The 16,092-nt window shown below is 51.1% G+C and overlaps 1 protein-coding gene across 11 annotated transcripts in view, besides 2 other annotated features; it reads left to right on the plus strand.

The window, feature by feature from the left end:
* Positions 1 to 16,092, plus strand: part of ZC3H18 (zinc finger CCCH-type containing 18) — a 61,562-nt gene that overhangs the window by 26,688 nt on the left and 18,782 nt on the right. For 4 of the 11 annotated variants that reach the window (NM_001294340.2, NM_144604.4, XM_047433609.1 and 1 more), the window contains 5 exons: positions 1,088 to 1,236; positions 1,530 to 1,622; positions 2,701 to 2,858; positions 11,844 to 11,961; positions 14,178 to 14,446. In NM_001294340.2, coding sequence (NP_001281269.1) covers positions 1,088 to 1,236; positions 1,530 to 1,622; positions 2,701 to 2,858; positions 11,844 to 11,961; positions 14,178 to 14,446 — 787 coding nt within the window. Of the gene's footprint in view, positions 1 to 1,087; positions 1,237 to 1,529; positions 1,623 to 2,700; positions 2,859 to 11,843; positions 11,962 to 13,351; positions 13,530 to 14,177; positions 14,447 to 16,092 lie in introns of those variants that run through there. The other 7 variants (XM_011522863.2, XM_047433612.1, XM_047433613.1 and 4 more) reach the window with 4 other exon arrangements.
* Positions 10,061 to 10,561: an enhancer, noted in NCBI's record as "H3K27ac hESC enhancer chr16:88673559-88674059 (GRCh37/hg19 assembly coordinates)". NCBI's record gives its function as "activates a minimal SCP1, AML or CMV promoter by ChIP-STARR-seq in naive H9 embryonic stem cells {active_cell/tissue: H9 hESC(naive)}" and the evidence as "EXISTENCE:reporter gene assay evidence [ECO:0000049][PMID:30033119]".
* Positions 13,055 to 14,000: an enhancer, noted in NCBI's record as "H3K27ac-H3K4me1 hESC enhancer chr16:88676553-88677498 (GRCh37/hg19 assembly coordinates)". NCBI's record gives its function as "activates a minimal SCP1, AML or CMV promoter by ChIP-STARR-seq in primed H9 embryonic stem cells {active_cell/tissue: H9 hESC(primed)}" and the evidence as "EXISTENCE:reporter gene assay evidence [ECO:0000049][PMID:30033119]".

Below are 16,092 nucleotides of genomic sequence, written 5' to 3' on the forward strand. Positions count from 1 at the left end.
TTTGTATTTTTTAGTAGAGACGGGGTTTCACCATGTTAGCCAGGATGGTCTTGATCTCTTGACGTCGTGAGCCACCACGCCTGGCCTCCCAACTTCGTTTGACTTATGTGTGATCTCTGAAATGCTTTTAGAAATTTTAAAAATTACTTGTCATTTTTGCATTTCCAGAGAAGCAGTTTTAAGTTTTCTTTCGTGTTTAATTTGGATCGATATTGTTATTATGTTGTATTGAGTTGGTTTTAATGCAGGCTTAAGTGTTCCTGATGTTTAAGGTTAAAATTTTAAATGATTTAAAATCTAACTGCATGTTAACCCATTGAAAAAAATTTTTAAACCGCTTAGATACTATATGCCATATTTGGTTTTAAACAATGTGTACACATTATCTATTCCCAAAAAAGTACATTTTAAAAAAGTGATTCACTCAGTAATTGAGTTAGACACTTAGATGTCTTATATTCTACACTTGAAAGTCGAGGTCTCCTTTACTAACCCGGATATTCTGTTGAAGATGAAGGTTTGTGATTGTTATTTATGAGCAAAGTGTAAAAGCCCGTTTCAGTTCCAGAAATATCTTGAAATGCCCTGTGAGAGTTTTCTCTGTGAGAGAAATGCAGACGTACAGAGGTGGCCAAGGGGACCCTGAGCACACCTGCAGGCTTCTGATCATTGTTAATGCTTCTCATTGATGTCTGTTTCGGCACAAATACAATTAACATCCAGTTGTACCTAGATGAGCCTGGGCCAGGGCTGGAAGCAAAGCTCTGGGGCTTTTCTGGTTTAAGGGGAAAATTAATACTCAGACAGTTGATACGCGTGAACTCTCCACAAAGTGACTTTGTGGTCACTCTGACCGAGGTGCCTGGCAGCCTCTGGGGAACTGCCGTGCCTGGGCAGGTGCAGCTGTCTGGCTCAGCCTCTCCAGGCTCATCCCGCCCACCTCCCCGTTCAGTTCCCACTACTGTGTGGCTCGCCATCAGGCCTGGGTAAACATGGCCTCTGCCCCCTCCCACCCCCCACCCCAGCAGCTGCCCTTGTGCAATTAGGCTCTTGTGGACCCTTTCTGATCTCACTTTTGTTTCCATAGGGAACTGTACCTGGGGAATGAATTGTAGGTTTATACACCCTGGAGTGAACGACAAGGGGAACTACTCCCTAATCACCAAAGCCGACCCCTTCCCGCCTAATGGTGCCCCGCCTCTCGGACCTCACCCGCTGATGCCCGCCAACCCTTGGGTGCGTGATGCCTCTTCTTTCATTGTTAGCACATCAGCCAACTGAGCTGTGTCTGAATCTCAAGCTTAAGACAAGTCACTGTGCCTTAGCACAGGCTCAGTGCCCCCTTTCGGCTGCTTCTGTCGTCCCGAGTGGAAGCAGGCCTCGGCTTTCCGAGGACGGAGTGAGGCTTGGTGGAAGGAGAGCGGCCACACACGGCCGGCTTGTGTTGTAGTTGATGTTTTTACTGTCTGGTTTCTCTGTACACTTGAAAGTTTTACTTTCTCACCTTCTCCCTTCTCGTTTTTCAATAGGGTGGGCCGGTAGTTGATGAAATTTTGCCTCCACCCCCTCCAGAGCCCCCAACAGAGAGTGCCTGGGAACGAGGACTCCGGCATGCAAAGGAGGTAAACACAATTCAGCAGAAATCCCGACAAGAAAGATGCTATTACAGGAGTGGTTCTTGACAAAACTGGGATTTCCTCGGTCCAGAGAGAGCCCCAGAAATCTCTGAAGTTAGGCGTCTGTTTCTGTGGTGTCTTTCTTTATTTTTTATTTATTTATTTTTTTGGAGACAGAGTTTCACTCTTGTTGCCCAGGCTGGAGTGCAATGGCCCAAACTCGACTCACTGCAGCCTCCGCCTCCCAGGTTCATGTGATTCTCCTGCTCGGCCTCCCAAGTAGCTGGGATTACAGGCATGCGCCACCAGGCCCGGAAGGATGGAGAGTTATATCTAACTGTCTCAGGCAGCAGCCCAGTAGGCCAGGGAGTTCAGTCCAGGGCATACCCACTGTCTTCATGGGGCTGGATCAGCACTGGGCCACACCCCAGCTGGCACTGCCCAGGAGCACAGGGTGCAGTCTCCAGCCACTCACAGAAAGCCTGGCGAGGCTGCCCGAGCCGCACCCCCAGGATCTGCACCCCACACTCCTGAGACTCAGTGTCTGCTCTTCCTGGAGAAAACTTGGAGCTTTCTGGTCCTATCACTGCACACTTCCTCCCTCTAGGCCCACGTTGGCCCCAGTGTGTGAGCTTCAGCTCTGGGGACCACTCTGCTGGCACCCAGCCCCACTTCCTCATTTTCCTGGTCAGCCTCCCTGCTGGGAAATGACGGACAAGATGTTCCTTCTCACTCCCTCGGCATGTCACTTCCTTCCCTCTGAGACTCCAGCCACTCCACCTGCTGCTTGTCACTGAGTGACTGAACCCTGGATCTAGTTCCAAGGGTAGTTGAAGGAAGTGATGAACACCTCATGTGGGCACACGGAGGCCGGGGGCAGCTGTTTGTGCAGAGACGGGCACAGACTGCCCTCCCCAGAAGGACAACTGTGCTGTGTCCGCCCCTCACCCCTTGAGCACTTGCAGCGTGCAGCTCCTGCTCCTGCAGGGCTGCTGCGGTCGGGTGGGACGGCTCCCTTTGTGTTTCCTAACAGCGACGCCCGGTATTCTGTTCCATGTTGACTTCTTTCTTCTTACAATGGTAGGTTTTAAAAAAAGCAACTATTCGAAAAGAACAGGAGCCTGATTTTGAAGAGAAAAGGTTTACGGTGACCATTGGCGAAGACGAACGGGAATTTGACAAAGAAAATGAAGTTTTTCGAGATTGGAATTCTCGGATCCCGAGAGATGTCAGAGACACAGTGTAAGGAATGGCCCTGCCTGCCCCTCCGTTTCCTTCCTGCATGCGGCCACGCTCCGGAGAGAGCAGCCATGTGCAGGGCCCCAGGGTGCGCTCGGCTGAGACCCAGCCCCACTCACTGGAGTCTCAGTGACGTTCCTGAGAGCATTCAGGCACGGTTCTCAGAGCTCATCTCAGTTTTTTGCTTCTAGGAAGGAAGCGTTAGGGCTCTGTGCCATGGGCCTTGACTGGCAGCACTCACACCGTTGTGGTTCCTGAGCTCTGAGAGTTTTCGCTGCTGTCCTTGAGGCCTCTAGAGCCCCACAAGTCTGTGTTTCTGGCTCCTCACCCCTGCCCACATTACCCAGGAGCCAGGAAACGTGTGGAGGTTGCCACAAGCCAGGAACACAACAGCTGCGGCCTCTTCGCTGTCAGGGCTGTTCTGCCTTCACTGCTTCTCCTCCAGGGCATTGATGGCTGGTTTTTGTTTTTTGGTTTTTTTTCCCGAGGCAGAGTCTTGCTCTGTCGCCCAAGCTGGAGTGCAGTTGCGCAATCTTGGCTCACTGCAACCTCCGCCTCCCTGGGTTGAAGTGATTCTCCTGCTTCAGCCTCCTGAGTAGCTGGAACTACAGGTGTCTGCTACCACACCCAACTCAGTTTTGTGTTTTTAGTAGAGATGGATTTCACCATGTTGGCCAGGATGGTCTCGAACTCCTGACCTCAAGTGATCCACCCACGCCTGCCTCCCAGAGTGCTGGGACTACAGGCGTGAACCACTGCACCCAGCCCCTTTATGCCTGGTCTTTAAAAATCCTGTCTTAACAGAAGAAGTGCCTGGGTCGAAGGGTGGAAGTCAGATCTTGGGGGATTGCATGGCATATAAAGTGCTGTTTTCCTCTGCCTGTGGATGGCACGGTGAGGTTCAGGGCAGGGAACTGGATTATAATTCGGGCAGATCTGAATTGGCACTCCATCATGCTGAGGCTTTAGCAGCCCTGTACATTTCTGGTTGCTATTAGGGAATCATAATCACTATGATTTCTATCTGGAGTGACAATAAACGGTGCTCAAAAAAGGAAGGCGTGCAGGGCTTGCACTCCAGGATTTGGTCCTGTCGACTTGGCCCTGCAAGGCCCTTCTCAAGGCCTTCTTGCCGCGAGCAGGCTACCCTGGGCTTTCCGCCTGCGGAAGTTGGGGGAGGAAGCCCCAGTGGCCCACACCTGCCCCAGCAGGTGAGAGCTTAGAGGTTAAAGGGATAGGTATTTAAAGACTTGGTTAACATGTACATTTTCTAATTAAGTTTTGTGTGGAATGTCAGATCACAGAAAGGAGCATTTGAGTCAGAACTCTGCAGGATCACCAGGGGTGTCTCCTGAAGCCCTGGAGGCCTTTGTGTTTTTTTGTTAGATGTGGATATCGTCTTTCCTTCCCCAGAGCTCGTGTGCACAGAGGTCTCTATAAATATGTGTGGGGAAGGATGGATTTTAGAACCTGGGCGTGATCCTTGACACTCTATTTCCAGTTTCCCTGGCTGGAGCAGGGACCGGAAAACTGCCTGCTTGGAAGTGGTTCGGCAGGTCTCTGAGGTTTTTTGGAGTGCCCTCTGTGTGTGTTTTACCTATCAGTGTTGGTTACAGAAACAGGTGTCTCCCATCCTGGCACCAGGTGACAGAAGCTGGCTCCTGGCTCCCTAGCTTCTCTCCCAGGAGCCGGTATCTACACTGCAGGACCCCCAAATGTTAAAGTCTCGGCAGTCAGGGCTGAAAGGTTTTCACTGGTGTCTGAAAGCCAGGTATTTCTGTATGTTTGTATTTTGTTTGTTTTTATAGAGTAGCCTCTGTGTATGTTACAGTTAACCTGAGGCCTTTTGTGCCATGCCTCCCCCGAGACCTGGTGAGTCAGGACCTCTGGGAACAGGGTCAGGGTGCATGTGTCACAGTGGCGAGGTGCCCTGGCTGTTTCTGATAGACACAGTGGAAAGAACTGTCAGGGTTCTGCCAGGAGGGTGGAGACCCCCCTATGATTGTCACAAAGAGCATCTAAGGGAAGGGTGGGTCCACCAGGTAGGTTGCTACAGAGGAAAACAGTGAGTAGAGGGAGCCAGTACAGCTGGGCTGCTGAGACCCGGAGGGAAGGAAGGAGCTGCACTGCAAGTGCAGATGTCCTGGTGCGTGCTGTTGGCAGGAGTGGGTCCTCTTGTCACCCAGCCTTCTCGGTCCTACCTGTGCCCGCTGCAGGCAGGGCCTCACCTGGAACAGCTGGCAAAGCAGGTCGCAGCTTGTAGGGTGTGCAGGAGGGTGGCTGGCAGCCCAGTTGGCGGTCAGGCTCCAGGGCCTTAATGGCACAGAAGAGGCCAAGCCAGCAGCACTTATGTGTTGCAATCCTGCTGCATGACAGGCTTCGCATCCAGTGCTCCTGACCTGTTTTGGGTCACAGCAGGCCGAGGTCAGGGCCATGTCCCTGCCTCACAGGTGAGGAGAGTGCAACCTGGATTGATAGCTGTGACCTCCTGGTGTGGTGCCTTAACCTCAGCCACATCTGCCCCCAGCAGCATGTGAGAGGTCAGATTCTTAGCTCGACCCCAGGAAGACTGAGTCTGAAACTCCAGGGAGAGCCCAGGCCAGTGGTTTGTTTTTAACAAGCCCTCCAGGTAATTCTGATGCATATTAAAGTTTGAGAACCATTGATTGTAAGTAATTCCAGGGACACAAATTCTCTGAAGATACCATGTTATTTTATTTCCTAATGTCGAGAGTTTTCTGTTGGTTTTTTGAGATGAGGTCTTGCTATGTTGCTCAGGCTGGTCTCCAACTCCTGGACTCAAGCAATCCTCGCGCCTGAGCCTCCTAAGTTGCTGGGAATATAGACGTTAGCCACCTGATGTTGAGTTTTGCAAATAATTGTCACATAGAAGCACCTTCATGCAGGCAGGCTTTGCTTACTACAGGATGGAGCTCTAGGCACTTCATTGTAGAACCAGTGGAATATGAGGACTTTTCGAGAAGTCTTGAGGACATAAAGGACAAGAAAATTGTTGTTCCTTCTTTTTTTTTTTTTTGAGACGGAGTCTCGCTCTGTCACCCAGGCTGGAGTGTAGTGGTGCCATCTTGGCTCACTGTAAGCTCCGCCTCCTGGGTTCACGCCATTCTCCTGCCTCAGCCTCCCGAGTAGCTGGGACTACAGGCGCCCGCCACCACGCTCAGCCAATTTTTTGTATTTTTTAGTAGAGACAGGGTTTCACCATGTTAGCCAGGAATGGCCTCAATCTCTTGACCTCGTGATCTGCCTGCCTCGGCCTCCCAAAGTGCTGGGATGACAGGCGTGAGCCACCGCACCTGGCCTGTTTTTTCTTTATATCTCTTTTGGAATTAAAAACTGACCTAGCAGGATCACTTAGTAAACATAATACTTTGTGGCCGGGCACGGTGGCTCACGCCTGTAATCCCAGCACTTTGGGAGGCCAAAGCGGACGGATTGCCTGAGCTCAAGAGTTTGAGACCAGGCTGGGCAACACGGTGAAACCCCATCTCTACTAAAATACAGAAGAAATTAGCAGGGCGTGGCAGCATGCACCTGTAATCCCAGCTACTTGGGAGGCTGAGGCAGGAGAATTGCTCGAACCTGGGAGGCGGAGGTTGCCAGTGAGCCAAGATCATGCCCCTGCACTCCAGCCTGGGCAACAGAGCGAGACTCCGTCTCTTTTTTTTTTTTTTTTTGAGACGGAGTCTGGCTCTGTCGCCCAGCGTGGAGTGCAGTGGCGCAATCTGGGCTCACTGCAAGCTCTGCCTCCTGGGTTCACGCCATTCTTCTGCCTCAGCTTACCAAGTAGCTGGGACTACAGGTGCCTGCCACCATGCCCGGCTAATTTTTTTTTTTTTTTTTGTATTTTTAGTAGAGATGGGGTTTCACCATGTTAGCCAGGTTGGTCTCGATCTCCTGACCTTGTGATCCACCGGCCTTGGCCTCCCAAAGTGCTGGGATTACAGGCGTGAGCCACCGTGCCCAGCCCCATTTCTTAAAATAATAATAATAATAATACTTTGCTAGACAGACGCACTCTGATTCGCAGCTTTAAATATTCCGTTTCTACCACCTCAAGCACTTTGTTCAGGTACCATCTGACTTATAAAACCTCACATATTGGCTGGATACAGTAGCTAGTAATGTCTATAATCCTAGTGTTTTGGGAGGTCAAGGTTGGCAGATCAGTTGAGCTCGGGAGTTGAAGACCAGTCTGGACAACATGGCAAAACCCCATCTCTACAAAATATACAAAAATTAGTTGGGCATGGTGGCACGCACCTGTAGTCCCAGCTACTCAAGAGTCTGAGGTGGGAGAATCTCTTGAGCCCGAGAGGTGGAGGTTGCAGCAAGTGAGATCGTGCCACTGCACTCCAGCCTGGGTGACTGAGTGAGACTCTTTCTCCAAAAAAAAAAAAAAAAGTTCTCACATATGTAAGACATTAAGAAATGAAATGACGGCCGGGCACAGTGGCTCACGCCTGTAATCCCAGCACTCTGGGAGGCTGAGGCAGGCAGATCACAGGGTCAGGAGATTGAGACCGTTCTGGCTAACATGGTGAAACCCCATCTCTACTAAAAATACAAAAAATTAGCCAGGCGTGGTGGCGGACACCTGTAGTCCCAGCTACTCGGGAGGCTGAGGCAGGAGAATGGCGTGAACCCAGGAGGCGGAGCTTACAGTGAGCCGAGATGGCGCCACTGCACTCCAGCCTGGGCGACAGAGCAAGACTCCATCTCAAAGAAAAAAAAAGAAATGTCATCTCTGCATAGGGCTCCTGGGGATGCTGTGCCCAGAATATTCTACAAGTCTAATAGGGACATGTGACCCAAAAGACACAAGGGCCTCTAGTGCGCACAGGACGTCACCTGTGAGAAATGCGGTCATCAGTAGTAGCCCCACCGTGAACAGAGTTTCTGATTAAATCAGAGTCAGGCTGTCAGGCCATGGCCAGGGCCATGGACTGGGCCCCTGCCAACTCCCCATACGCCCCCAGCACAGAGAGTAGTGCAGTGCCGGTGTATTAGAGGCGGAGGTGCAGGCTGCTGTTCTTTGGAGTAGGATGTCAGGCTGGGATACAGAGGAAACAGAACAGTAATTTTCAAAAAGCACACTCCCTTTCCTCAGGTAACAGGTCTACCAGATGCTGGTCCAGCACCTCCTTTGTCCCAGATGCTTAACTGAGAGAGCACAAGTGGCTTTTACCTGGGATTTGCTGGTGCCCTGTGGGGAAGCCCCCTGAGTGAGCAGGGAGGGAGGGTTGGGCTACCTGGAGAGTAAGACAGGGCCTGCTCCACATGGGTAAGCCCACAGTCCCACAGACTCAGGGCAGATGGATGTATGGGTGCCCAGGCATTGCCTGTGGCCTCTGCATGCCTTTGGGGACCTCCTCCCCTGCCTGCACTTTCAGTGGCCAGCGTTGCAACAGGAACGTGGGCAACAGGCAGGTGGGCACCAGGTCGACCATGCTGGGTTGGGGTGAGGGCAAGAGGCAGCAGGGGGCTGCGTCGCTGCTCCCTTTGTGAGCTGCCTGGGACCCTCCTTTTCACCTTGGGTCTCTGCAGCAAGCAGGGACACGTGAGCATCTGACTCCCACCCTTTGCAGAGCACAGCCTCCCTCCACCTGGGTTGAGGTCAGCACGATTTCAACCTGAATTGTGCAAATGCAAGTTGCATTTCATTGTGTAATATTGCATAACCCTTAGATTAAAAGTGAGTAGTGTTAGACATTTTAGAACTTTTTCCTAGTACTTTTTGAGATCCAGTTTCCTTGTCACTGAAATGAAATGGTTAAACAAAGTGATCTCGAAGCTCCAAACTTCTGTCTTACACGTTCTCTAATTGCTCGACTTTTCACCTGCCATGCCTCTCCCTGGGCAAGGCTGTGGGCAGAAACCACCTGCCCCTGATGGGCATGTCCAATGGTTCCCCTTAGCCAGGACCTCGGGTTCTCCTCTCCAGCGAGGAGTAGGTCCACTCCACGTGCCAGTGCTGAGTCTGACGCTGCCCAGACCTCTGGGGACGCGGGGCCTCTGGAGTGCAGATTCCACGTGTGTGCACAGGACACTGTTGGTGTTGGCTGGTTAAGTGGTGACTGCAGAACGAGGTGCGAGCCTCCCAGTTGCTGCGAGCCAGCTTTGCCCAACCTTGCTTCACCACAGAACCCTTTTCTCAAAAGGCCCATTAACATTTTGGGTTCCCTAAAACAGTTGGGGAAGAGTTTGTGCATACCATGATACTGCCCAGTAGCATTTATTTTTAAATTGAATTAAATACCTTCCAAATTCATTTCAAGAGTGTTTCAGAATTTTTCAGGATGGTGCTGAGGAGTCCGTTGTTGGCATGGTTGCAGTTCCTGGTGGCGTGTTGTGTTGACACGTTCTCTAGAACGCATGCTGCGGAGCAGATGGTTCCGAGGCAGCCACGCTGAGGAAATGCTGTGTGCCTCATTCCTATCCGCTCATCCACGACTTCCAGAAAGCCTGCAGGAAAGAGGCCTTTTCATTTTGCTTAAGTACAGTTTCCCAAAAACAAATTTGCCGGCACAGTCCTCTTGTCAGAGAACACACGCCTCACACATTTTGGGAAAGGCTTTTCTACCCTATTGGGCTTACGCAATCAGCCTCAGCCCACCGAGTAGTTGGGGGCCACAGCCATGCACCACCAGACCTGGCTGCTGATGTGTTTTTTGTAGAGACGGTGTCTCGCGTGCTGTCCAGGCTTCCTCTTCGTTTTTATGTAGCCTGATGTCATATTGCCACAGGTCTCTACAAATGTTTCCTGAGTGTTATAATTCAGTGTGATTTGAGTAGTGTGCACATTAGATTGAACGGTGTCCGACTGATGGGAACGGACTGAAGCTGTGTCCTTTGGGAGAGCCAGTTCTAGGCCATGTGGAGAGTTGAGGAGGCCTCGAGGGTGTTCGTAGCCACCCATCGCTGGAGCCACCTCAAGCCATGATGCCTCAGGTTCCCACCCAGTCTACCCGAAGCAGAGGGTTGGCTTGTGGCTGAGACATACCCTGGAGGGGCGTCCAGGGACCTCCTATTGCTAGTGTACACTTTGTTTCCTCTGCTCCACAGGAAAGGAGATGCAGAGTTGTGGGCCCCGCCAGGAGTTTAGAGCAGGCCCCCCCCAACCCTGTGCGCAGTGGGGAAGAGAGCCTGACCTTCCCAGCAGCTGGACAGTCGTCCCCTCCCTGTTCAATGAAGAATCCCCTCTGTCCCTGAGATGCCACCTCTCTGGGCGTGCCTGGGTCTGCCTCTGGACCTCCTGCCTCCTCCTTCTGGCCGCCGGTTTTCATGTGCTGCGATGGCACTGGCTTAATTATACAGGCTTTTTAGGATGTTTAATGTCTCAGAGGGCGTGTCTGGCGTGTCTTTTCATTTCCAGGGTTTTCTTGGCTGTTCTTGGGGTGCGATTTTTCATGTGAACTTGGGTGTCAGCTTGTCTGGCTCCTTAAAGAAGCTCATTGGTGTTTTTGCTGGGATTGTGTTAAATTTATCAGTCAGTGTAGGAAGGACTGACTTGTGGGCGATTCCGAGCTGCGCTCTCCCAGTGCAAGAGGCGTCTCCCCATTATTCATGCACGCTTTGTGTCAGGTTTCAAAACCCCCATTTATTCATGCACACTTTGTATCAGGCGTCTCCCCATTTATTCACACGCTTCATGTCTCTCAGGCGTCTCCCCATTTATTCACAGGCTTCATGTCACGTGTCTCCCCATTTATTCACACACGCTTCATGTCTCTCAGGCGTCTCCCCATTTATTCACACACACTTCATGTCTCTCAGGCATCTCCCCATTTATTCACACACACTTCATGTCTCTCAGGCATCTCCCCATTCACATGCTTCATGTCAGGCGTCTCCCCATTTATTCACGCACGCTTCATGTCTCTCAGGCGTCTCCCCACTTATTCACACACACTTTGTGTCTCTCAGGAATCAGCTCTGCACATTTCTGGTGAAATGTGTTGATATTTTATTCCTAAGTACTTTTTTCTTCTTTCTTGCTATTGTAAATGCGGTTTTCTCCACTCTGCCTCCTAACTGGTTATAATCTGTGTCTGTGAAGACACTGATTTCTATGTTAATTTTTTTATCCTCTGCCTTTCCAAGTTTCTTCATTGTTTGTTTGAATTGGCTTTATCAAGTCTCTGGGTTTTTCATGTATAGTATCATATCATTTTGCAAATCTGAGCTCGTTTTGCTCCTTGTTTTCGTGTTCTTGTGCCTCTAGTGGGCTCCCCTTGTCCAGTCAGGGGGTGCCTCCACACAGGGACAGGTGGTTGCGGAGACTCCTGGGGGAGCTCCTCCTATTCCCCAGTGAGTAAGGTGCTGACTTTTGTTCCAAAGTGTGTCAGTATATTTTTATCATGCTAAAGTATCACTTCCTATTTTCTTTCCTTTTTTTTTTTTCTTATTTAATTTTCAAGACGGAGTTTCACTCTTGTTGCCCAGGCCGGAGTGCAATGGCACAGTCTCGGCTCATGGCAACCTCCACCTCCTGGGTTCAAGTGATTCTCCTGCCTCAGCCTCCTGAGTAGCTGGGATTACAGGCATGTGCCACCACGCCCAACTAATTTTGTATTTTTAGTAGAGAAGGGGTTTCTCCATGTTGGTCAGGCTGCTCTCAAACTCCTGACCTCAGGTGATCCACCTGCCTCGGCCTCCCACGGTGCTGGGATTACAGGCATGAGCCACCACACCTGGCCCTCACTTCCTATTTTCTTGAGTATTTTTTATCAAAAAGGCTATTGAATTTTTGTTAGACATTTTTATCATCTGTGAATAGAACCCTTTGACTTCTGGCCTGCTCTTAGATGTAGTTTGTGAACAGATTTCCTAACCTTGAGCCAACCTTGCGCTCCTGGAGTAAACCCCACTGCGTCACGGTCTGTTACTTTCTGTCCCTAATGTTTCGTGTGGTCTTTTTACGCCAGTGCTCCTAAGTGATGAGAGTTCTTTTTCATTGGCCCTTTTCAGACTCGAGCCTTACGCAGACCCTTATTATGACTATGAAATTGAGCGGTTTTGGCGTGGCGGACAGTATGAGAATTTCAGGGTGCAGTATACAGAAACAGAGCCGTATCATAATTACCGAGTAAGTATGACTTCAATATCCACATATGAACTTCATGATCTGTTCATTCAAGTTATCCCTTTTTATTTACAGTAAAAAATACAGGGCTTTATATGAGCTTATAGAGCCAGCACAATGTACCAATTTGAAAACCAAATTGATTGTTACGGAGAACGAATTCAGAGGCAGCGATTACATTAATGGTCATTTGAACAAAGACTTGCCTGAAAACTGGTTCTTGCTATGGTTTTGTTTTTTTGTGTGGTGTTTGTTTGTTTGTTTTTTGAGATAGGGTCCCACTCTGTCACCCAGGCTGGAGTGCAGCGGTGCAATCTCGGCTCACTGCAACCTCTACCTCCTGGGTTCAAATGATTCTCCATCCTCAGCCTCCCGAGTAGCTGGGACCACACGCATGCACCACCATGCCCAGCTAATTTTTTTGTATTTTTTTTGTAGAGACGGGGTTTTACCATGTTGTCCAGGCTGGTTTTGAACTCCTGAGCTCAAGCAATCCGCCTGCTTTAGCCTCCCAGAGTGCTGGGATTAAAGACATGAGCCACTGCGCCCGGCCTGGGTTGTTTGTTTTGGAGACGGAGTTTAACTCTGTCACCCAGGCTGGAGTTCAGTGGCGTGATCTCACCTCACTGCAACCTCTGCCTCCCAGATTCAAGCAATTCTCCTGCCTCAGCCTCCTGAGTAGCTGGGATTACAGGTGCCCACCATCACACCTGGCTAATTTTTTGTATTTTTAGTAGAGACAGGGTTTTGCCGTGTTGGTCAGGCTGGTCTCAAACTTCCGATCTCAGGTGATCTGCCTATCTCAGCCTCCCAAAGTGCTGGGATTACAGGCATAAGTCACTGTGCCCAGCTCGGCCTGGTTTTGAAAATGAGATTTGCCAGTATACTTACTGATGCCTGTGTCCAGGGGTGCCTGCGTCTCCCTGCTCGGGCGTGTCACTCTTCCCCACCCCTCAGTGATCCCGTTTAGGATGTGGCGCCTGTTCTGGTCCACTTCAGCCAGCTTGTTAAGTCTGTTCCGGGCCTGCTGCACCTCACTGCTCTCATGGAAGACTGGTCTATACTGAGATTTCCGCCCTGGAAATCTCCCTGGTCTGAGCCTCAGAGTTTAGCATATTGATGAGTTATGTGCTTCAGACTGTGAGTTCCTCATCTTAGCTGTTAGGGTGATTTGACGAAGTTGCCCCAGGGAAGGGTCAGTTAGAAGCTGCTGTGTAGTTCTGTTCTGTGACTGCAGGGACAGTCATGAGCTTTGAGGACCAGGTGCGGCTGTCTCCTCAGGAGCCCATCAGGGTGAGCTTGCAGAGGGAAGAGGGCCCCATCGTGCCAGAAAAGTCCCCCTGCTCGATGCTCTTGTGCCCCGTCTCTCCATAAAGCAGCTTCCTCATTGCAGGTGGGCTGCAGGGTCCTGCTGCTTACCCCTGGGCAGGGTACCCTGGAAGGTGGGAGAAAGCCCCAGGGATCCCTTTCCACTGCGTTCCTCTCTGCTGTGTCCGAGGGAGGGGCAGCAGGGAGGCTCGGGGTGCACCCTGCATCTCCCCAACAGAGGCCTCAAGCCTGAAACCCATCAGGTGCGTTGTGATTGGACTTTATTCAGTTTTAACCTTGAATATTAGAGCAAATGAATGAGTAAGAGCAGAGGAAAAGTTGGAAAGGGCATCCGAGGATTGTACTAGAAGAAGAGGAGCAGTCTTTTGGGTGCCTGCTCTGCTCCAGAGGCAGGGCATGTGCTCTGCTGTGGCTGCACCTACCTGGGACAAGCCTGGAACTCCCGTCTCTGGATGGACAAATGGACTTGCCCAGGCCACACGGCGGAAGGCCATCTGTGCCAACGACACCGGGCTGTGACTGCAGAATTGCTGCCCTGAGTTAGTCTAGAATTGGTGGTTGGGATGATTTCACTCCTAGTTTGTGTTTGCTCTAATTTGGCATCTGACCCGGTTTTTAACATTGTGTTTTAAGGAGAGAGCTGGGAATGAGATGAGATCCCCACTTGAGGGTGCTCCCTGATCCTGCCTCTCTCTTGCCATCTCCTCTGTACTCCACCGCAGAGAGTTCAATCATAGTCGGGAGCACTTGGCGTTTTGTGTGTAGGTTTGTGGGGTACAGGTGTGATTCTGTGACACAGACAGATCGCGTGGTGTTGGAGCCAAGGCTTTCAGTGCCTCTGTCACCCAAATAACGCACGGTGTCCCCATGTGTTTGGCTTTTTAACAAAGGAAAGGGAGCGGGAGCGAGAGAGAGAGAACAGACAGCGCGAGCGCGAGCGGGAGCGGGAGCGGGACCGAGAGCGGGAGCGCCGGCAGAGGGAGCGCGAGCGAGAGCGGGAGCGCGAGCGCGACAAGGAGCGGCAGCGGAGGAAGGAGGAGTGGGAGCGTGAGCGAGCCAAGCGGGACGAGAAGGACCGGCAGCACCGTGACCGCGACCGGGAGAAGGAGCGGGAGAAGGAGAAGGGGAAGCCCAAGCCCCGCTCCCCGCAGCCGCCAAGGTAGACCCTGCTTCCTGAAGCCCAGGGGTGTGGGGGAGGTCCGGCATGCAGCTCTGTACCTAGTCCCCCTGGCCTGCGCTTCCCCTCTGTGGCCCACAGCTCTGGAGCCCAGGGGACCAGTGCAGGCCCACAGCCCGAGCCCATAGTTCCAAACCCAGAGCTCTCCAACGCAGGGCCTTTCTGTAAAACTCCCAAGGCCGTGACATCTGCCCTGAGCTCCTGGGAGGCTGTTCTCATTCTAGAGGATCTCACTGATGTGAAAATGCTTACAGTCCACGTGCAAACATCGGTGTGTTTTAATAGGCGCTGCCCTTGTATACCACGCACGGTGTGTAACTCACACCCTGGGCACCATGTTACTGTTCTCAGGAGAGTTCTGAATTCCAAAGCATGCCTGGCCCCCAGAGCTTGGGACTGGGCTCAGGTGCTGTGGGGCATCCGTGTTGCTGGCCAGGGTGAGGCACTCTAGCAGCCAGCATGCAGGGGAGGGCCGGGCGGGCTGCTGTTTTTCCTTTGCGGAGTGGGTGCCTTGGGTGCAGAATGATCCTTGCTGCCAACTGCTGGGGGCACAGTCAAGACCCATGAGACAGGCAGGCGCTGGGGCTCAGGACAGCCCTTTTTTTCTCTCAAATATACTTGACTGTTAGAGCAGAATGGATGGGCGTCAGTGGACATTAGAGTACTGGATGATGTTTTTGGTGGGTGTTTTTTACAACTTTATTGAAATATAATTAATGGACGCTGCAACATACCCATTTAAAGTGTACAATCAGTGGTTTCTAGAATATTCACAGAGTTGTGCAGCCATCATCGCAATCAACATGAGAGCACTTTTGCCCCCTAAAGTGAAACCTTGCGGTGGCTCACACTTGCACCCTGCACTTTGGGAGGCTGAGGCAGGTGGATTGCTTGAAGCCAGGAGTTTGAGACCAGCCTGGGTAGCAAAGCAAGACTCCATCTCTATTTAAAAAAAAAAAAAAAAAATTAAAAATTAGCTGGGGGAGGTGGCATGAGCCTGTGGTCCCAGCTACTCGGGAGGCCAAGGCAGGAGGATTACAGGATCGCCCAGGTGTTGGAGGCTGCCATGAGCTACAATCGCACGGCTGCACTCCAGCCTGGATGACAAAGTGAGACCCTGTATCTAAAAAAAAAAAAAAATTAAAAATTGTTTTAAAAAAATCTAGGCTGGGCACGGTGGCTCACTCTTGTAATCTCAGCACTTTGGGCGGCCGGGATGGACAGATTGCTTGAGCTCAGGAATTGAGATCAGCCTGGGCAACATGGCAAAATCCCGTCTCTACAAAAAAATACAAAATATTAGCAGGGCGTGGTAGTGCACCACTGTGGTCCCAGCTACTCGGGAGGCTAATACGGGAGGATCACTTAAGCCCAGAAGGTTGAGGTTGCAGTGAGCTGAGATTGCACCACTGCACTCTAGCCTGGGTAATAGAGCAAGATTCTGTCTCAAAATAAAAAGAAGAAACATTGTACCCATCAGCAGTCACTCTCCATTTTCCCCACACTTCCCAGTCTCTTAGCAGCTTTGTGTCTCTAGGTATCTGCCCATTCAGAACGTTTTGTAGAAACGGAAGTGTGCAATACACAGCGTTTTGTAACTGGCCTCTTCTACTCCGAGCGTTTTTAAC

Source organism: Homo sapiens, chromosome 16 (genome assembly GCF_000001405.40).
Source record: "Homo sapiens chromosome 16, GRCh38.p14 Primary Assembly".
Classification (NCBI taxonomy): Eukaryota; Metazoa; Chordata; class Mammalia; order Primates; family Hominidae; genus Homo; species Homo sapiens.